A 22,552-nucleotide genomic window follows, 5' to 3' on the forward strand; every position below is an offset into this window, starting at 1 on the left:
AACTTACATTAAATTATTATTTTAATGCCTATTAATAATTTGAAAAAATTCAAACTGCTTTCCCTTTCACTGTCAATCCAAATCAAATATATTATAAGACAATAAGACATTTCTCCCTTGGATTATCAGCCACTGCATGTCCTAAGGTCAAAGATTACCACTTTCCTATTTTGGGTTCAGTATTCTACCCATTGTGGGTGTGCCGTAAATATGAAATTATAATTATGCTAATTCATATCTGTCTAATCAGGCATACATGATATATGACTCAGAGTATTTAAGCATTTAGGCAGTGATTAACCATAATAATAGTCCCATATGATTCTTCTAATTCTCAAGTTTTATATGCCATCTTGGCTAACCGTTTACAACCATCATCATCTCCTTTCTCCTCCTCATCAACATCAACTAACTTTTATTGTGTGTGTCACTGTACAAAGCACCCTCAGCTATTTTAGAGAGAGCCAGAGTCTTTAGACTTATTTTTCCATATTTATTCACACTTATCACATTTTCTGGTTTCACAGAAGCCTAGCTGCTGAAATAATTTCATTTCCCTCTGCCTGATTGCTCAATTATTTTCTCTTTTTCCTAAATTAGTTTGATTTACTGTCATATCAGCACTTTGAATGGCAAGCCTCAATAATGTAAATCAAGCATATTCACTGCAGGATGCTATTCCTAGTACCTCACTGATTTTCTGACACATTGTGCCTTCTGTGCAGGGGAGAATGGAGACGGGGTTTGAGAGTTCAGTGCTGACCAGGATTTATGCCAGGGTATTTTGCCAAATATCCTTGTTGAAGCCAGTGCTTTTTCTTACTCTTTGATATCTTTTGTCACCAATTTCTAGGCCTTTGCTATGACCAACCAAATTCTGGTGGAGAAGTCAGTGACAGGTTGGAAAGAAATAGAATATGAAGTGGTTCGAGATGCTGATGACAATTGTGTCACTGTCTGTAACATGGAAAATGTTGATGCCATGGGTGTTCACACAGGTAGGCAAAGTATCTTCAAGAACTATAGTAATGCTTTCAGTTCATGTCTTTGATGGCCAAGGCAGTCTTTATAAAGTTGTTGCCTTTAAATTACTATTTCTAGTTGACAGACTAGTGATAACATTTTGGACAAGCATAGTATTTTACAGTATTGAAAATGTTCTCACATTTAATTTGATCTTCACACAAACCCTGTGAAGTAAGGCGGATATTACACTGAGTTAATTGAGGAAGAGCCAAAGGTAAGCAATATGGTAGAAATAAGATCCATAAAACTTAGTGTTGAGAAATAAGAAGGGAGGTTGAGACAGTTTAAAGCAGACTGAGCTGGTAATCACCCAGTAAATGAGAAAATAGGCACAATAATAGAAATAAGTTTTTCAGAAAAGTACACTAGTTAGATAAGAGGGCAAAGATGATAACTTAGGATTTAAAAGTGCTAAATTTGGGGTGTGAGCAGAGCTGTCAAAAAAGGGAGTTGAGAATGTGGAGATGGAATTTAAGAAATAAAATAGAAATAAATAAGTTGATACAAAGACACTGGAAACTGTTGGCATAAAAGGGGAAATTGAAGTTGTAGGCATAGACAAAGTATTCAAGGACATAGGTATAGAAAGAGGAGAGAATAGGGTTGAACTTTGAACTCTGGGAAACATTTAGATTTATAGGGCAGGGGAAAGAGGAAGTATTACTGTTGAAGATAGAAGGGGAGAATAAAGAGTTAAGAGGAAAATCAGGTAGTACTGTACCAACTAAGCCAATGCAAGAACTATTTTATAAAAGAGCTTTGTTTTTGGCAGTATCAAATGCTATGCAAGACCAAGACTGATTATTTAATTTGGCTCTTTTGGATGTCCAAGAGAACAATTTCATTGCAAAGTCAGTTCTGTGAGCTCTATTAAAAGGAATTACATGGTATCAAGTGGTAAGCAGAATTGGCAAACTTTCAAGAAGCTCATTCATGTAAAGAATGAGAGAGAAGCTTTGTATGGTTGTCTGGCAATGTTGGGAGAAGACTTCCGGAGGCAGTGAAGATCTGAGCGTGTTTGAAGGCAGAAGGGATGGAGACTAAGATTGCAGATATAAGGGGCTATGATGAGGGAAGTGAAGATGGAAAGGGATGAGATACAGAAAGCCAGCTGATGAGCCAGTCTGAGTGATAATATTCAATGAAAGGAAGAACTTCAGAAATAATTTGAGATGAAGAGCAGGGAAGTTGAAGTCAATCTAGTAAGTAGACGATTGAAGCCTTGATAGCTACTTACTAGATAGATGAACTTGGGAAAGGTTAGAGAGGTTTCTAAAAGTACTGTATCAGAGTAATATGGGCAAAACAGGAATTGGGGGAATACCTGATATCACATATATATCCCAACAAACCCTCAGACTGTTCTATGTCTTGCATCGTGCAAGTAGATGGTTAAGTCGCTGAAGTTGGTTATTTCAATATGCCACCAAGTAATGAGTGCTTCTTGGATATATAGGTGACTCAGTTGTTGTGGCTCCTGCCCAGACACTCTCCAATGCCGAGTTTCAGATGTTGAGACGTACTTCAATCAATGTTGTTCGCCACTTGGGCATTGTGGGTGAATGCAACATTCAGTTTGCCCTTCATCCTACCTCAATGGAATACTGCATCATTGAAGTGAATGCCAGACTGTCCCGAAGCTCTGCTCTGGCCTCAAAAGCCACTGGGTAAGACCAGAATAATTGACCATGGGTTTGCAGATTCTTTTCAGATAGAAATGAAAAATTGACAGATAGTGGAAGACTGTACTGCATTTACAAACTATGTTCCCTTTTTCTGTATGTTAGCTCCAAATCATTTATAGCACCCTGAGGACATGATTATTAATGAGCTTGTTGCCAGATTGAGGTAAATTATATTGCTAGCTGGCTTTGTTTGCAGGCTAATCTAAACGAATCAAAATCTAGGTGGCTAAAGCAGGCTGTGAAAAATCTGCTTCCTAATTGCACTTTGCAGATGTTGTTAAAAGTGCAGATTAATCCTTAATTTTAGTCTTCAGCTGTTTTCTTCAGGTGTATAGCCCTATAGCAAATAGTTGACAGAAAATATAGCTCACTTGACTCAAGCATGCAATACACATTACTTTTATTTTATCAAAACTCCACAAGACTGAACAGTGCGGAATTTTTTCACAAGTAACTGTTACAACCAAACAAATACATCTGCTGTCTATGTAACAGCCACTAGCAGGCATGATTGGAGGGAAAGGTAATCAAAACCTTTGGTTTCTAATAATATATTTAGCACCTTACACTTAAATTATGGCATTTAAATGAACACAATATTTACTTCTTTATATTTTTTTTACGTAGTTCCACAGCACTGCGTGGAGTGGTGAAAGGCATGTTGCCCTGTACAGGAGTCACAATTCTGCATTCTCACTTGGTTCTTCTGTTGACCGTGTGATTTTGAGCACATCACTCATTGTCTTTATCAGTTTCCTCATTTGTTAGGTGGAAGTTGTACTAAAGAACTCATTTTTAATTCTATAGTTCTATGAATTATTTTCTCAAACAGAATAACCCAAACTGACATTCTGGATGAAGATAGTCAAGTTCTCAAAGTGTTAGTTTTGTAAGGAGCCCAAAGTTCAAAGATAATTTGGAGACAGAGCAAGGACCCAAACTTGAAATGCCTACATTTTCTGACCATTATGTACTCTCTTGTACTAGCTAACTCCACTGTATTCTTAGGTACAGATATGTATATGTACAGATATGTATATATTTTCTCAAAAAATATTTTGCAGATTCTCATCTTAGTGGAGGTTAAATACAAATAAAGGTTAAACTTTATTTATCAATAAAGCTATCGATTTTGGGTTGAAGAGGTGAAGGTTGAGCGTTGTAGCAATGCATGTAGTGCACAGAGAGTAAATTCTCCTGTGACCTGTGCCTCTATACTTTGTATCATGACTCCTATTATTCCGCAAGTGGCTACTAAATATTGATGCAGAACAGAGAATCAAGTGTCTTATACCCTGAAGTAGAATAATACCAGAAATTTTAAGAAAGACCAATTTATGTTTTGGTCTGTTTTCAATAATTGCTCGAAGAAAAAAAAATAAATTTGTCTTCTTTTTATAGCTACCCATTGGCATTCATTGCTGCAAAGATTGCCCTAGGAATCCCACTTCCAGAAATTAAGAACGTCGTATCCGGGAAGACATCAGCCTGTTTTGAACCTAGCCTGGATTACATGGTCACCAAGATTCCCCGCTGGGATCTTGACCGTTTTCATGGAACATCTAGCCGAATTGGTAGCTCTATGAAAAGTGTAGGAGAGGTGAGTCCTTGGTTTATTACGCTTTTCTTCTTGTTCTCAGTTATTTTGTTAAATTTGTGACACCATTGACAGTGTTAAAGTTGCCTGGATACCATCAACACATGGACAGTGTTAAAGGTGCAATTGACAGTGTTAAAGTTGCCTGAATATTAGCATACTAATATGCTAACAGTCTCTATGTGATTGTTTACATATTACATATGTTACATGGCCATTTTGCTGGATTTGAAGGTCTTCCTATTCAAAAGGTGAGGCCATATATCTGGCTATATAGTATAGATACACATATGAAAACACATTCATATACATATAACTGAGTTGTAATATATTTTATAACCAAATCAAGAAAGTAATATAGAATATAATATATCAAAAAGACCACTGAACTGAGCTTAAGAATTCAACTTTAGTCCATTCATGCAAATTGTGGCTCTAACTTCCTGAGACCTCATTCCCCACATCTATAAAAGAAGAGGCTGGACTAGTTCATCTCTCAGGATCCTTCCAGCTCTAAAATTCTAAATTGATATGAGCATAGTAGATTATTAAGCCCTCTTTAATTATACTAAAAAGTTCTAAGCTTTTAACATCTTTAGAAGATTTTTTAGAATGTGCTGTTATACTATTTGAAATTAAAGTTAGCCTTTGATTATTGCATCTTCAAAGATGCAGTGTTCTTCTGTGTGAGAGGAAAGAAAGGAATTCATATCTCTGCTGAGATTCACTCCCTTGCCTCCTTCCACCAAGTCCTAATCATTTTCTGCATCCAGAAGGTTTGGGATAGTGGAGAAAACATGAAACTTGGAACCAGCTGGACTTGGATATTACTCTTGGCATTGCCACTTATTAGCTACAGACTCTCAGGCAAGACTGAGTTTCAGGATCCACACCTATAAAATAGAAATAATAATACCTACCTTGCAGGATTCTTATAATACCCCCTCTTAATAAATGTAATCCATCATTATTGTTATTATTAAATTAGTATTCATAAATGTTGCATGGGGTAGATGAGTGCTGAAGTATGAACAAATCTCAGTCTTTCTCTATCATTTGTCTATCTACCATTTATCTTAGTTTATCTGTATCTCATCTCTATTTCTGTTGTGGCCAGTGTGGGAGCTTTTAGTCTATGTATCTAAGTTGATTAGAGTACAGAGCAAAAGGCTGTTTATGACATATTTTTCCATATTGTTCTTTATTTGTCCCATAACACAGATTATAGCCTAAACCCAGGCCAGCCATTTCAGAAATGCATGTCACTAATCACAGAAAATATAGATTAAATCTGTCACCAATACAGGGAAAAAGAAAAAGAAATGCTTTACTGGTCTATCATATTCACACATGAAAGGCAGAATTATTTCTATTTTGGCTTCCTTAATTTGTAAGATACTAATGAAAGATTTTAAAGTAGTAACAAATCAACAAATTGGCCTTTTAAATTAAAATGTCTTACTAGTTGTAAAACACTAAATATTAGTTTTTTCTCCATTATAGTTGTTTTAAATCTTATTTTTCAAATCATACTTTTTAGTGTACAAAAGAAATAGAACGCAAATACCATGAAAATCTATGTTGCTAGTGTTTGCACCAAATAAACAACTGTTATTTAGTTTACATTTCATGGGAAGGGTCCTTTTTAAATAATGTTCACCATAAAATTGGTAGTTCAAGGAACTTGAGAAAATTATGTAATATTTTCATTTGGGGCTTCTTATCTGAGGGATTTTGTTGTCAAACAAAAAATAAAAGGTAGGGGGGAGTTTTGTTGTCTAACACCTTACATTTAGTTCAAAAAGTGAGCAAACATTTCCTGAGTTCTTACTAAACGCAAGACACTGGGAGGATTTAAAAAAGGAATAGATTATAGATAATTGAGATACATTGTCTGCAGTTGGTAAATTCAGAATACCTAAACTGACCCGAATAGACAATGAATTATTAATCTCTGGTAAATATTAAAAGATAGTACTTATATATAGATGCTATGAGAATATAGTAGAATAGGGTTGAGGAAGCCCATTATAGTCATTCCACTGGAAAATGTGAAATAGTCACTCAAGGAAGGTGCATTTTAATAGTATAGGGCAAATGTGGTGGGAGGACGACTTGAGCCCAGGGGGTCCAGTCTGTAGTGAGCCCTATAGTGCCGCTACACTCCAGCCTGGGTAACAGAGTGAGAACCTGTTTCAAAAAGCAAAAATATATAGAGAGAGTATTGAAAAGCACAATTTTTGAGCAAACATTTATAGATACATATTCCTTTGTTATACACGTTTTTTTTTTAATTGAATGGATCCCATGTACCATTATATAGATTGTGCTTAAGAATAATAAAAATATATGGAGAGTTACTTATAGAACTAATTTCAGATAAATTTTAAATATGTAATACTTCAAATTTTCTTAAATATACCCAAAATATTTCCTTAATTTTACAGAACAATAAAATGTCTGATTTCTGGCAGTCTTTTCCATGCCCAGGCTAGACAATCTATAAACATATTGTCTAACTCTTCAAGATACCACTATGACTTGCAAATTGCATATCTGAATTGCATTAACAGGTTGTTTATTCCTGCTCTTGTAAATTTTCCCTTATTTCTAATTAAATTTGGAACAGTGTGAAAAGGTTATCTGTTTGGCTTTAGTGATCATTGAATATGTATCTTGTCACATAATTGACATGAAGATTTCCTAAACTGACATTAGTGGTAATTTGAGTCTATTTGAGGAATCACAAAAGTTTACTGAAAATAGCATTATGACTGCTATTATTTTAAATTGGAGACCAAAAATGCATAGCAATCTATTATTCTATGAAAAGATTCAAACAATGTTTATCCAGCGAAAATAACTGGGTAGGTTGCAAGATCAATTTAAGTTTAGTTCTGACATGCAACTTGTCCAAACTAAATCACCACATAATTTTTCTAATTGATTAGTGTATGATGAGCTGTAAAGATTGTGGAAAGACACATTGAATTTGTCACAGAAAGTTTAGTCTCCTCCTACGTTCAAAATCATAATCATCAGTATTTGTTATGACTCTCAAGGTTCTATTAATATTAATGCTTAGCTGTAAGGAAAGCCAACCTGTCTTGAATACTGACTGATACTCATTTACAAATAGTTTCTGTTTCAGTGTTAATATATTTCTGGTTTCTTTTTATTTGCCTTCCATTCTAAAGAACATGCGCATAAAGCAAGATCTTACTAAGAAAAGGTCTCTATGCTTCAACCTTGAATTTCTTATTTTAATACTATGGTCCAGAGCAGGTACAGGTGATTTCCTCATCAATCTCAGCAAATACAGCTGAACTCCCTGAGTGGTAAAAGACTGACCTAATGAAGATGCATTATACCAAAACCATGGAGAAAGTGAGAGAGGAAGAAAAAAAGGAACACCTTTTTTTTTTTTTAATTTGAGAGGCTTTATGATATATTTTTTGTTCTTATTTGTTTTATAAAATATATTTTACGTCCAGTTCAGTTACAAATTAAAGATACATAAGCTCTTTCTTTCAATATGAGGTCTTAAACATGTATTACAGGTCATGGCTATTGGTCGTACCTTTGAGGAGAGTTTCCAGAAAGCTTTACGGATGTGCCACCCATCTATAGAAGGTTTCACTCCCCGTCTCCCAATGAACAAAGAATGGCCATCTAATTTAGATCTTAGAAAAGAGTTGTCTGAACCAAGCAGCACGCGTATCTATGCCATTGCCAAGGTAAGATGTTACAAGGGGCCCACAGCTACTAGTTGCTTTTCCAGAATGTAGTCAGTCTGGACATTAAAATAAAACTGAATCACAAAGTGGTTTTAAATCAGGGATTTTTGGAAAATTTTTAATTCTTTTATAGTATTAAACTGGAAACATCTATAGATTTCATTAGAGTCTTTTACAATTAATGATAAATTATCATTTTTATTTGACTTTAAGCCTGGATTTAAGGGCAAATTGCAGTTTTAAAGGATGATTAAATAGATAAAATGTCCCCCTTTTTAAGTATACTTAGTACTAATACTCAAGTAGATTTGACTATATTGACTTGTCCTTTACTATTAACTTTATTACATGTTCCTTGAATGTGTAAAATTGTATTGTAGAAAGGAAGGTGCATACAATAATGTCCCTTAGTATGTGCCACTTGAGTCTAGAATAATCTTAATTTATTTGCTTCTCTTTCTGTGTTTAAAAAACAGCAACAGACTATAAAGGCCCACATGATTATAGGGTTTTCCATGTAATTATTTTATTGGTCTTACTTTCAGGAAAAAAGGCCCTACATTTCTCACTTCCCTCCACTACTTGCTTCTCATGCAAATTAAATGCCATGTTAATCTACTTTTATATTTACTGTGCTTAGAGTTTTGAAGTTTCAGCTCATCTGATTTTATAAAAGGTGACTTGGGCAGCTGGAATCTGTCTGGTCAGAAATCCCTGAAAGGCTTTTTGACATTTAAGGAAGCACAAGCGTTAATCCTCCAACAGTATCAAACCGCACTGGTTCTACAAAGCTCTACTGACCATTTTATGTTTGTGTGTGTGTATGTGTGTGCATGTGGGATGAGTCGGTGAAAACATGAACTTTCTCTTTAAAAGGATTCCCGTCTTTGTAATTTGCCTGTGTAGAAACAGAAAAATGTTGTTAGTGATTTTGAACTCATCGCAACTTTTATGTCCATATTTTGAGTCCTTAAGAGACCTGAAGGAGAGGAAGGGATATTTCCTTAATTGCATCCAATGTATATTCTCCTCGCTCTTATGGTTTCTAAATGGAAAATATTTAAGCCCTACTGAAATTCTGGGAGTTGCTATTATCTCTTGATGGACATTTTCCCATGTTGAGTTTCAAGGTAATTAGAATTTTTCTCTGGCGGTGGCGGGTGGGATAGCAGTGATAAGAAGTTATTTTAGAAAGCCATTTCACCTTCATCATTTATTATCCCTATTTCAGTCTTTTATTTAAGAAGCAGCTCATGACATTCATATGTGTGTGTGTGTGTGTATATATATATATAAAATTTTTTTCTCAGGCAAAGGACAGTAAATAGATTTTTTCCTTAAGTCTAGCAATCATGTTTCTGCCACTTTGAAGGAGATGAAAAAGGCAAGCATTTCCAAGTTCCCAGCTAAGCTGTAAAACTCAAGCAAATCTCTCATTCTTTTCTAACAGACTTATAAAAGATGAGAATCTGGGAAAAATGTGTGGAGGTTCTTTCTTTCACAGGGTACCCTATGTATGAGCAAGAAGTGCAGGGGCTGCGTGTAAATTATTGCCTGCTCGAGTGCTGGGAGAAGGAACTGATTTCTGTTTGTTAGAGGTCATCATTACTGTTCATTTCAACAGCAGCCGGGAACTTGGTGATTTTGACAGAGAGTGTAAGGACGGTGGAGGGCTGAAGGGGAAAAAGAATGAAGGGAGTGTGTAAATCTTTGCTTGCTTTCATGAGTCTTAGAAAGAGCAACTTGCTCTGAGGTCTGATTTTTACAGCAGTCTTATTTCAGGATGACTGGATCATCACCTCTTTTGATTTGGGGAGAATGCGGGGCATTATTTTTGATTTTTGGAACATTAAAGTAACCTCAAACTTGTTTGGGGGTCATTATAGACTTCATTACAGTGATGTTACATAGCAAAGCTGCAGTGCTTGGAGATGAGGTCTTAAGACTGGCAGGATCTTGCTTGCTGTTGAGAAATCATGGATTTTTTTTTTTATCCAGTCTATCATTGATGGGCGTTTGGGTTGGTTCCAAGTCTTTGGTATTACGAATAGTGCTGCAATAAACATACGTGTGCATGTGTCTCTATAGTAGAATGATTTATAATCCTTTGGGTATATACCCAGTAATGGGATTGCTGGGTCAAATGGTATTTCTGGATCTAGATCCTTGAGGAAATGCCACACTGTCTTTCACAGTGGTTGAACTAATTTACACTCCCACCAGCTGTGTAAAAGTATTCCTATTTCTCAGCATCCTCTCCAGGATCTGTTGTTTCCTGAATTTTTAATGACAGCCATTCTAACTAGCATGAGATGGTATCTCATTGTGGTTTTGATTTGCATTTCTCTAATGACCAGTGATGATGAGCTTTTAAATGTGGCACATATACACCATGGAATACTATGCAGCCATAAAAAAGGATGAATTCATGTCCTTTGCAGGGACATGGATGAAGCTGGAAACCATCATTCTCAGCAAACTAACACAGGAACAGAAAACCAAGTACCACATGTTCTCACTCATAAGTGGGAGTGGAACAATGAGAACATATGAGCACAGGGAGGGGAACATTTCACACCGGGGCCTGTCGGGGGGTGGGGAGGTAGGGGATGCATAGCACTAGGAGAAATACCTAATGTAGATGACAGGTTGATGGGTGCAGCAAACCATCATGGCCCGTGTATACCTATGTAACAAACCTGCACGTCCTGCACATGTATCCCAGAACTTAAAGTATATATATATATATAAAAGAAAGAAATCATGGATTTGACTGTAGTCCTTTCCTTCCTTCCAGTGAAATGACTACAGGATTCTAGGCCCTCCCTCACTGTATGTGCTTGTGTGAAAACCTCCTTTGATCTCTTAAAAGTTTCAGTAACTTAAGGTTCTCTCCACCTCACAGTGTAGATGGCCGACAGCTAATTGTGCCTTTAATCACTTAGAAAGTAAGACAGAATATTAAGTCTTTGGGAACCTGACTGTAATTACAGGGAGAATTAAACAAAAGAAACATACATTGACTAGGAAATGAACATGGCTTTGAGTATTTCTGTTAAATGTCATCTTACTCTAGTCAACAAAATTATGAGCCATGCCATATCTCAACAATTATAATCATGGTCTCTCTGATACTATCATTATGTAAAAGCTTTAAGAAAAGTAAGCTCCCTGGGCTGAAATATACCAGCAGAGTTACTAGTTGCATATATTTCTTAATGGGTCTTAAAAACGCAGTGTGTTATTCTAAAATATGTTGTTCTGGAATATTTTCAGATTTTTCACAGGGTATATACACGTACACATACACACATACAAGAATAAGAGTAGACATCTTTTTGTATAAAGATTTTGGTTTTGAGAGTTTATCTCTTTTTTCAGTTAAATTTTCTACTCAGCTTAATGACCCATAGTTGTAGTTTTACTTTTGAGAAATTGATAAAGTAAGCTTGAGGAAGAGGCTGAGCTGCCTATCAGAACAGAAGTTATTACTACATTGTTTTGGAATATATTAGGATTTTAAAAAATGCCTGCCTTAGCACAAAAATCATAGTGACTGATTCAAAACAATTTTTTATTTGAAGTCCTCTGTGAGGAAATATTCTGGAGGAATAAAGCCAAGCCAGATCCGACCCATAAATTCTCACTGACTATTGTATGTTTGTGTGAATGTGGAGTGAGGTGATAAAAATATGCTATCTCCTACAAGATAACTATCAACACTACAAGTTAAGAGATCATTATATTAATTCTAGATTTTCTTACCAATTTGGCTTAACTGTAGTTTCAAGAGACTTTCTTTAATTCCAAAGAGATGTACCAAATTTAGGGTATAATGGGTAACACAATCAAATAAAGAGGAGCGAGTCAAAACCTGTTAGGAGATTTTTCTGAGAACACACCACTCAAGGCAAGCACCTACTCTGTATGCCATTTGTGGATATAGTTGGCACCATCTTTATGTTTATTGGAAGGAATGTCAGTGATGTCAGTTTCATGTTTTGTAACTCAGTCTACAGTCTCGGGCTCTCTAAATAACACACAGAGGCATGACTGCTATGTATTTTAAACCAAATAAGACATTTAGAAAAATGTTTGCCAAAGAAAGTATCTCTTCTCCTCTTGGCAGGCCATTGATGACAACATGTCCCTTGATGAGATTGAGAAGCTCACATACATTGACAAGTGGTTTTTGTATAAGATGCGTGATATTTTAAACATGGAAAAGACACTGAAAGGCCTCAACAGGTAAGGCAGTGCTGCTCTCATTCATGCCAGACACCTTCAGTGCAATTTTTAAAGAGTCTTCTTCCTACTCTTAAGCATTTGGTCTACATTGTGATTCAATGAGGTAGATAGTGCCATTGTTGGAAAATAGTACCCGTAGCCAGAAGACAAATGGCAGGTTTTTTTTTTTTTAGATGTTTACCTTTAGAAATGTATCCATTAATCTTTTTAATCATCTTCTATTCCCACCCTTGTCATCAGACATAGTAATAAGGTCTTTTGAATGCACAAAATTGGTATACATTGATGAACGTGTATTATTTAATTATGAAGTATTATCTAGATTTAAATTTTATTAATCAATTAAATGAATATTTGTTTTCTATAAATTTTCCTCTACATTCTGAAGTCTGTTTTCCCCTTTTAATATCAATCTATACATTGCTGTATATTGAGGAGAAAATGCATTCCTTTTGCGCTCTACTGTTTTTAAATTGGGACATTCAGTTCAGCATACAATTAAGCCACATTCAGGTTTCTCTTAACAGACTCTTCACCTCTGACTAATTTACATTTTTATCTCCATCATGGCCAATTATTTTTAAACTTCATTTTATGTTGAGAATATTTTGATAATGTAGTCCTTAAAATCTACTTTTAAATTTTTCATGGGAAACTGCTGGGGCACCTTAGGCTGATGAAAGCATGGATCAGTTTTAAACATCTATCTTCAATAAGAGGAGCATTTATTAGCAGATTAAGAAAGACAATATAGTCCTCTTGAACTTCTTCCCTCTGAAAGCACTCTGAAATACACTACTATTGGAAAGACGTCTTACCTGCAAACTAGGGATGTGTTTAGAGAAGGAAAAATTTTGTTTGTATAAAAATTGTTCTCAAATGATTTGACAAAATGTAGATACTTTAATCACTTAAAATATCTTTGAGGACAGTGGAAAATCTCAAAACCTGGATTGCTCAACTATTTAGCAATTGCAACATATACTTGGGTTACTGTATTTGCCTGATCAATATGTGTACAAACTAGGTAATAAAACACTTGCTTTTCTTTTTGAGAAAAATTAGGTTCTTTTTCATCTATTTAATTATTGCCCATGTCAAATGCTTGGTTTTGAAAACTGAGGAATTCTATCTGACAAAGATGAAACCAGCTATAGTTGCTTGTAAATCATCCTTTCTAGTGATCACATAAAATGAACAGTAGACAGCAAATAATTTAGGAATTGAACCTATACATTTATCTTATAATTTTGCTGACTTAAGTTTCCCTTTCTTGGTTTATGATGCCAGCAGAACTTCTGTGTAAAATTATAGTCTGTTCTACTGTTCTCAGTTTCAGGCAACTGATTTCAAATGCCTATGAAACCACTCCAATTAAGCCACATGGGGGTGCTAGAAACTTATAGTATGCCAGTCACAGCAGTGGAAAAGACCTGGGGTGGAAAATAGCAGATGTTATTGTGATTTAAATTTCCACTTGACATACGTTCTGATTTTTGGACAAATTCAATGTTTTAATTGAATAGTTTTCGTTACAACCAGAAGGCAGGTTGAGATTCTAACTAAGCATAAATAAGGGTATATTGATAGTGAAAAAGGTCCTTGGAGGATTAAAACAACACACTGTTACAGATCATTTATAATATTTTTCTGACTTCCACATTCTGTTGCATTTATTTGCCGACAATTTGACATTTTCAATCTCCATTTTCTGGCATAAATATATTTGTAAATAGGGATATTTTCTATTGTTCATAATGATCTACATTTAAAACTCTTTATGTAAAGCTTTATATCATTTCAAAAATTTCAAAAACTTACACTTAAAATCATCTCTACTGTATAAATTTGTTTTTGATCCAGGGAGGTTGAAGTGTCTATTATATAGCAAAAGCTAAAGTAAACCTGAAGTGGAACTCACAGATGATCCACGGCGTTAGCAAACCTAAACCCTGAACTCATTATCTGAGTGTCACTTTATGGTTTAATTCCTTTCTTTTTGAAGTGTCATTGATGCACGCATAGCAATTTGATAATGATTGTTATTTAGCGGTATTAGATAAATAACAAGAATAGATGGCCACTAAAGCTACCTGTCTCCATCATTTTGTGGCACATAGGGGTCTGAAGTTGAAAGAATACGACAGCTGATGGAATGAATGTTAAGTATGTAAGGCCTTGAGTTTCCTTGCCCTATTTTAATTATACTCACCATTAGTCTGGGTCTGAGTCCTCTGCTTTTTCTCGGCCCCTCAATATCCAGGGAGGCTTAGTCATCAAGGTACGTACTGCTCCAACAGTAACAAGAGCTCCCTATTAATGACCTATAGCTGACTTACATATTGCGAGTTTGGAGAGAGGCTGAGAAGATTAGTTGTTCTTTTTCATTTGTATTTATTTATGGTTTACTTTGAAGATCTCAACTGCTTCTGTGTTAGAATGGCTGTCTTTAGCTGTAGGCCTAGGAGCTAGCGATTTATTTGGTGTGCGTTCAGAGAACTCCAAAATTCTCCTGCCTCAACATCTATCTCTGCTGCCAATGTACCGCACTCCCTTTGTACTTTTCATAGAGATCCTTGAGAAGACAGGCAGTGGGGCTCTCACTTGGGAAAAGAGAAGTAAATTAAGAGAAAAAATATAGAATGCTAGACGTGGGTTTTCTGGTTCCACCCTTGTGCATTGGAAGGAGCAGACTATGGAGCCAGAGATTGGTGCGCAGTCCTCCCCACTGTAGAATCAGACGTACATCACCTCTTTCATTTCTCCAGATTCATGTTCTTTCTCTTAATCTCTGCTTCTAGTTTTTTTGTGAAGCTTAATTTATATAAGTATAAATGACATCTGACATATTGTGAGGGCCCAAGAAAATTTTTCCTCTTTTCCCCTGAAAATAAAAATGCTACTTGTTGTAATAAAGGTTACTTTATGATTTTAGATATGTATTATATATTATGATTTTAGATATGTAGATATGATAGTTAAATATTTAAAGATTCATTTTCAGACTCACAATTTTTATTTGCTTTTATATTTTGCAATGTATCATTTCTTAATTTCCTTTATGATGCATCACTTATTTTAATATCAGACCTATTTTTTAAAGGAAGCAATTGATAGCTACGATGCAAATGCTATTCTTATTAAAAGATAAATAGCTTTCCCTTATGCTAATGAATAAAAATTCCTACTCTACAGTTGTTAATCAATCTCGAGTTCTAAAGTCCGATAAACACATTTAATAGCAGAGGATGAGCATATCATTAAATTGATGGTCAGTCTCTGACTTGTGTTTACATATAGTCATCTGAAATGAAGTTCAGAATTTGAGTCCCAAATAGACTATACCCACGCATGGACACAGGGAGGGGAACATCACACACCGGGGCCTGTTGGGGGGTGGGGGGCTAAGGGAGGGATAGCATTAGGAAAAATACCTAATGTAGATGACGGGTTGATGGGTGCAACAAATCACCATGGCACGTGTATACCTATGTAACAAGCCTGCATGTTCTGTACATGTATCCCAGAACTTAAAGTATAATATAAAAAAAGAAATATAAAAACAAGAACATAGTTTATGTTTGAAATGTAAACAATAAATGTGCTTATTTATGCAATAGCTTCAAACAATATATTTTAAGATAAAATACAATGGAAATTATTAAAAAAGATATACTCACATATTTAGTATATATAAATATTCACAGACTGAGATGGGGAAAACAAAACAATGATTGTAACTAGGTAGATATTATGGAAATAACTGATGAGTTTTCCATGCCTGTGAGATAGTAGAAATTATAATCAGAAACCCTTCTCTTTGAAGGGGAGAGATAAACATGTTTCATGTTCATGATTACGTATGAAGTCTCATCTTTCTGCAGGGTGATGAGACAAGAGGGATAGGTGTATTAGGCCATTCTTGCATTGCTATGAAGAAATATCTGAGACTGGGTAGTTTATGAAGAGGTTTAATTGGCTCACAGTTCTGTAAACTTCACAGGAAGTGTGGTGCTAGCATCTGCTTGGCTTCTAGGGAGGCCTCAGAAATCTTACAATCATGGCGGAAGGCAAAAGGAAAGCAGCCGTGTCCTATGGAAAAAGCAGGAGCCAGCCAGAGAGAGGGAGTCGGTGGGGGAGGTGCCACATACTTTCAGACAACCAGATTATGCAAGAATTCACTCACTATTGCCAGGAGAGCACCAGGGGGTTGGTGCTACATCATTCATGAGAAATCTGCTCCCATTATCCAGTCACCTCCCACCAGTCCCCATCTCCAACACTGGGGATTAAATATCAATCTGAGATTTGGGCAGGGACAAACATAAAAACTATATCAACAGGTATCAGAATAATCAACTCAGCATCCTAGCTTTGAGTGCTTGCCCCCTCAGAACTCAGTATGCTGTCTCTAATACCTGAATATAGTAGCAATGGCAACCCTCACAAGACTTCTGAAGCAATATCTATTCTTACCAGCTTAGGTAATAACCATTATTTAGACAGCTTCAGCCAAAAAAAGATCTCTTTCCTGTTTACGCTCACTGACTTTCTCCTTTTCCACTTAAACTGCTTATTGCTACCCAAGGGCATGGTAGGGAAGCTGACTGTTCTAGGCAGTTCCCCAAATTTATAGGCTGGTGTAGTAGCATTAACTGACCTAGGGTGATAACATATTTACAGTGGATTTCTTTAGGATTTGAGAAGTTTCTTTTTACTCAGTACGATATAAGTTGTGTCATGTAGGATTCGAATACTTGTTATGTGTATGCTTTGGAATTTAGATGTTTAATGGTCACCAAAGGTCTTTTAACTTCACATTGTCAGATCACCCTGCAAGGAGTTTGAGGAAAATGAAGTCTATATAAATTTTTAGTGGAACCACAACATGTGCATAATCTCTGTCCATTAGCTTTCACTGCTAAGCTATTGATATTTTAGTCTATTTTTCCCATACTCACTCTCCCAATGCCGACGCTTTCACATATTGTGCTCTTCCCATGTAGTATTTTAATAAATACCAAAAGAAAAATATCCTTACTCCGATCTGTAAGAAATTATAAAAATCTCACCTATAGTTCTTTTTTCCATTAGTGCATAGATTCAATTTTGGTCATGTAAAGATCTCCTGCCTGGAGAGAGGAAATGCAGGTACCATAAATCAAATAAAGATGTCAAATGTCTTCACCAACTAGGTTCTTCTGATATAGCCTATTCCTTATTGTAACCAAATAATGAATTTATAACTCTTAATACTGAAACTTGAATTTTGATTCAGTTTAATAATTCTGAATGCCTTCCAAGGGTAAGATAATAATCACAAAAATTTTTGGACTACATATTAAGCACTGTTCTAAGCACATTATTTTGTTTAATTCCTAACACAACATTAAGAAATCAGTGATTGTCCTAATTTTATTGATAGTAAACTGAGGCACTGAGAGATTCAGCAGTTTCCTCTACATCACATACTAATAAATAACAGAATTGGGATCAAGTCTAAGCAGGACTCCAGAACCCAGGATACTTGCTATTTAACCCCTTATATTTGATATATAATTATATTCTTATATACTTTTTACTTTAGTAAAAAGTAAACATTGTTTTTATGTACAATGTTGCTATTTATGTGAGCAATATTGTGGATGAAGCTTAGAAAGAATACTTACATGTAAGTATATACCTACATACTTAAATATCAAATATAATATATTTATATTTGTGTATACCATAGATGACTGCTTAAAAATAATACATATATGTGTATGCTTATATACTTACATATCAAGTATATGGTATGTAAGTGTGCATGTAAATATATTAAATATATGTAAACATAAGCATATATATACACACACAGAAACAGGTTTGCTTGGGGTATAGAAACAGATTTGTTTAGAGGTGTAGATAACATCTAGAGGAAATAAGAAGTAAGACTACCTAAAATAGACAGCTTCAGTTTAGAAACAGTAGCCAATAAAGGGGTGATAGTCCTATCATGGTAGAATCAGCATATATAATGAAGGTTTCTACTATATTATTAATAAACAAGCACAGGTACAAATATCCTTCAGTTGGACTCCCCTTGCTATAAGTATGTAAGGAATTCAACTATAATAGAACTTGTGAGAAAGAACTATTTCAGGACTTTACACCCCCAAGCATTATTATTTATAATACCAATTTGGATTGGCAATTTTATATTGAAAGACAATCATGATACTTAAAAAAAAAAAAAAGACACATGAACAGGCAAGAAAAAAAAAGTGAGAGTACAATTACCAGCTTTAAGCATCTGCTTATCCCTCTGGCTGTAACTGTTTTTAATTTTTTTATTTCCTTATTTTGTTTTTTTGGTTTCTTTAGCTATTTCTGACTGACATATCCAGCTTGGAGATTTTATTATACCTGCCTAAATTGTATAATTTCGCTCTTTTACTGGCTAAAACTAAGCTGAATTAAGTTTTGAATCCTTGCTTCAAGTGATTATCTTAAAGAAGATGGCCAGCCTCTGCTTTTGCTATACCATGTTAAATCATCAAAGTGAAGGTTTTCTACCATTTATGATGATTGCTTGTTCTTGTGCATTCCATTCATTTTGGGCAATTTTCCTTCAATGGTCCATTTTGCTCTCTTGTTTTTATGTACAATGCCGCTATTTATGTTAGCAATGTTGTAGATGACTACTTAAAAAGAATCTATTTTCATTCATTTTACACGTTCAAAAGTAGGAGATATAACCATTGTGATACAATTTATACCATACGAGTATTGGAAGCTAAAATTTGTATTTGTTTCCCTATTGTTGACATAAACTTTACTATGGATTTATTTACAAATTATCCAGATATTGCTTTTGTCTAATATTCTGTAGGTTTCATGTGGTTTTTTTTTGCTATCTTCACTCTAATAACTTTAATATTCTCTTTCCTCTTTACTGCTTATAGTCAATATAGTTTTAAAAAAAAGAGTAAAGTGCACTTTTCAAGGGTCCAATTTCCATCCGAAATCACTATGTTCAATGTGATAAACTATGTCCATTGGTGAGTGGTGAAAAATCATAGGCGTGCCTATTGCTTAGGAAAACAATCTAGGACAACCCTGGTGAGTTCCACTTGGGCATTCAAGTGCTAAATTGAGCTCAGTAAAGTTGGCCATTTCCCTGCAGCCACAAACTTCTGGCAGATGTAATAATGCAGGTGTCACGTTAGCTGGAACACTCCCTTTGAATGTCCTCTCCTACACATGCTAACTTCTATTGACTTTTTATTTAACTTGCTCATGAGGCATGGCAAAAATCAGGCAAGAACGTTTTGTGCTTATGCTTGATTGAAGTTTCTGGGGGAAAAGTGTCACCTAAGAGTTGTTGGAACTTAGATATAAGAAACAGAAGGGTCAGTACTTTACTTTCTGATGACAATGTATATTTTCTGGTAGAAAAAAATCAACAACTTTCATCTTAAACTACTAAATATACAAGTAATTTAAAGAAAGATAATATAACATATAATCACATTATAATTTTTGTGATACTTTACTATGACATGTTTTTGTGATAGCATCTATTATTTTGGATATAGAAATGAGAATGGAGATGATTGAACACTTTAGTGGAACCCATTAATTTGATTTGCAGAAAATGGTCTTATGTCTTCTCATATTACTACTAACTCACACGATATTCTAAGCCTCAGTTTCACCCTAGTAAAAACAAAACAAAAAGAAACAACACAAACTCCCTTCTTATTTTACTGGTCAGTCATGCAGCTAGCTGAATATATACTATATGTGAAGTAACAAACTTTAAAGAAAAACAGTCTTACCAGTTATTACATATTACCATTCTATGCTTTCAGTCTTCATACTCCAAGCCATTTATATAATGAACCTCTTCAGGTGTACTAAAAAATGGGGCTTATATATACAAGTACTTATTTCTTTGTAAGAGAAGAGTAATACCATGGGAAATTTTATAACTCTGTGAACTAATGCCAAAAATACATTTTATTTTTAATTTGCTTTTATGTTCCATGTAATAAAAGGATATTTTAGGTGATGTCATAGGTTTGATAGGACTCCACTAATTTTTAAAGTAATAATTTATTGAGATAGATATAAAATTTTACATCAAATATTTAATGTTCTGAGAGTCTTCATTTGTTATTTAAATAGTGTTTTCATAGTTTTGGCAAATGATTGTGCATTTTTGAATTTGTGAGAGAGTACTTCCGAGTCTGGCATGGACAAGATGAATGTTTTGCTTAAAAGGTTTTCAGAGTAATATTCAGATGACTCATAAAGTGCCTATTATGTTTCTGTATATTAATTATTGTATGTTTGCTAGTTCATAAGAATATACAACTTAAAAATTTTAAGTTGATTTAAAATAACACATACTCAGAATATGTGTATATATATCTATAAATAGTCAATAATTAATACATTATTCCTGTGTTAATGTCTCTGAACTAAGCGTGATGGGATATATATTTACTTGATGGCATTTCTTTTTATTAGGAGCTGGTATTAGACCAAATGGTATTTGTTCTTCTATTCAGTCATTATGTATTGGGTACCTACTATGTGTAAGGTTTTGTGCTAGTTCCAAAGCCATTTGTTGATGAATAATCACTAGTTATTAGACCAAATGGTATTTGTTCTTCTATTCAGTCATTATTTATTGGGTATCTACTATGTGTAAGGCTTTGTGCTAGTTCCAAAGCCATTTGTTGATGAATAATCACCAGTCATTGAATCTATAATATAGGTTTATAACCTATACAAAGAGCTATATATAGACAGGACACATTAATGGACATGTGAGAAGCAGAAATATGAATTCATGAAAGTTTAGTGGAGGTTAGAAACAAAAGCTCTTAGCTAACTTTACACATGTTATCTCATACAAGTCTCGATGTACAGTTTTTAGGAGGTATGTGTCTCTATCCCATATTTTATGAAAGAAATGATGACTCAGAATGTTTAAGTAAATTCTCCTTACTCCATATTGGAGCCAGGTTTTGAGTTCAGAAATCTCTCAGTCCAAGGACAATATTCTTTCCTTCAATATATCCCACTGTCATGGGAGCCAAAGGAAGAAGGAAGAGAGAATTTAAAATAAATGAAATAGAAAGACACTTTCAAGAGGATTGCATGGTTTAGAGAGAGAAGAGAGAAACAGAATTAAGTCCTCATTTGATGTTGGGTAGGTAGGAGTGGAAGCTAGGCTATAAGGTCCAAACACATAGTGAGAAACAGGTAGGTAAAGGTATGAATTCTACTCAGGAACTGACAAATTGTGTTTGCTCTTTATCCTATTTATGCTATTTTTCATAACAGTGAAAATCTGACTATGAAGAAATTAAGATAGTATAAGAAGAAAAACTAAAGTGGATATTAGCTACCTGTTTGTTCATTGGGTGAAATAGTTGACGCCACACAGTCTTACTTCATTGTTCCGTAAATATTGCATATATCCTAATATCATCCCCCAATTAAATTGTGATTTTCATTAGGGAAAGTATCCAATACCATAATGTCTTAATATGTTTTTATTATAGGTCTTTCTTAGCAAAAAATTGTGTTAATTTGTATGAATGCAGAATAGAGTTCACTGTGGCATAAGGTATAAGTCATAATTTCTGAAACAGATACAAATGGTTTCCAATTCTTTATTTACCATATATTTTCTTGGGAATTGATATATGGTGCTTTGTATAAACACTCAACAATATTTGTATGATAATATAACAAATAAACTTTCTTGGTAGAAAGTGAAAATCATCATTTCTTAGTGATGGCAAAGGAGGGGGAATTGTAGTGGAGCAAAATGCATATGATTCCTGGTTGTTCAAAGGGATTGAATTCACAAAATTCACAAAATTATTAATTAGAAAATACATAGCCCAAGATATAAACTGACTGTGTTGGGAAATATTGTAAACCAACATCTCTAGGTTTTAATTTCTTAAAGTAGTTATGTATCTACTAATTAGCTAGGAAGGCTCTGAATAAACTGTTTTTTAATAAAAAGAGATTTATCTAATTGTTTTATATTGTCAAAGATTATATACATGTAGGCAGTATAGGTATATCGTGAAATCTCTAACTCCTGGTGAGAACTAACCAGTGTTTGTGTATTCTTGATCTTCAAAAATTATTCACGTTTTCAAATTTTTGCATTTTCTGAGAAGTTTTTGTGAGAAATATTCACAGACATTTTCAACTATATGAAGGGATATGATTTTATTAACCAGTGA

General features: G+C 34.6%; 1 protein-coding gene and 1 long non-coding RNA gene across 7 annotated transcripts in view; both read left to right on the top strand.

The window, feature by feature from the left end:
• Nucleotides 1-22,552, top strand: part of CPS1 (carbamoyl-phosphate synthase 1) — a 201,423-nt gene that overhangs the window by 126,564 nt on the left and 52,307 nt on the right. For all 6 annotated transcript variants that reach the window (NR_161225.1, NR_163592.1, NM_001369257.1 and 3 more), the window contains 5 exons: nucleotides 854-998; nucleotides 2,483-2,693; nucleotides 4,113-4,311; nucleotides 7,869-8,045; nucleotides 12,175-12,293. Coding sequence is in view for 4 of the 6 variants with exons in the window: in NM_001369257.1 (NP_001356186.1) it covers nucleotides 854-998; nucleotides 2,483-2,693; nucleotides 4,113-4,311; nucleotides 7,869-8,045; nucleotides 12,175-12,293 (851 nt within the window). In the remaining 2 variants the exon portion in view is untranslated. The remainder of the gene's footprint in view (nucleotides 1-853; nucleotides 999-2,482; nucleotides 2,694-4,112; nucleotides 4,312-7,868; nucleotides 8,046-12,174; nucleotides 12,294-22,552) is intronic.
• CPS1-IT1 (CPS1 intronic transcript 1) lies at nucleotides 13,323-15,628 on the top strand. Its single transcript, NR_002763.2, has one exon. It is a non-coding gene; the product is annotated as a CPS1 intronic transcript 1 (long non-coding RNA).

The sequence above is a fragment of the Homo sapiens genome, chromosome 2, assembly GCF_000001405.40.
Source record: "Homo sapiens chromosome 2, GRCh38.p14 Primary Assembly".
NCBI classification, from domain to species: Eukaryota; Metazoa; Chordata; class Mammalia; order Primates; family Hominidae; genus Homo; species Homo sapiens.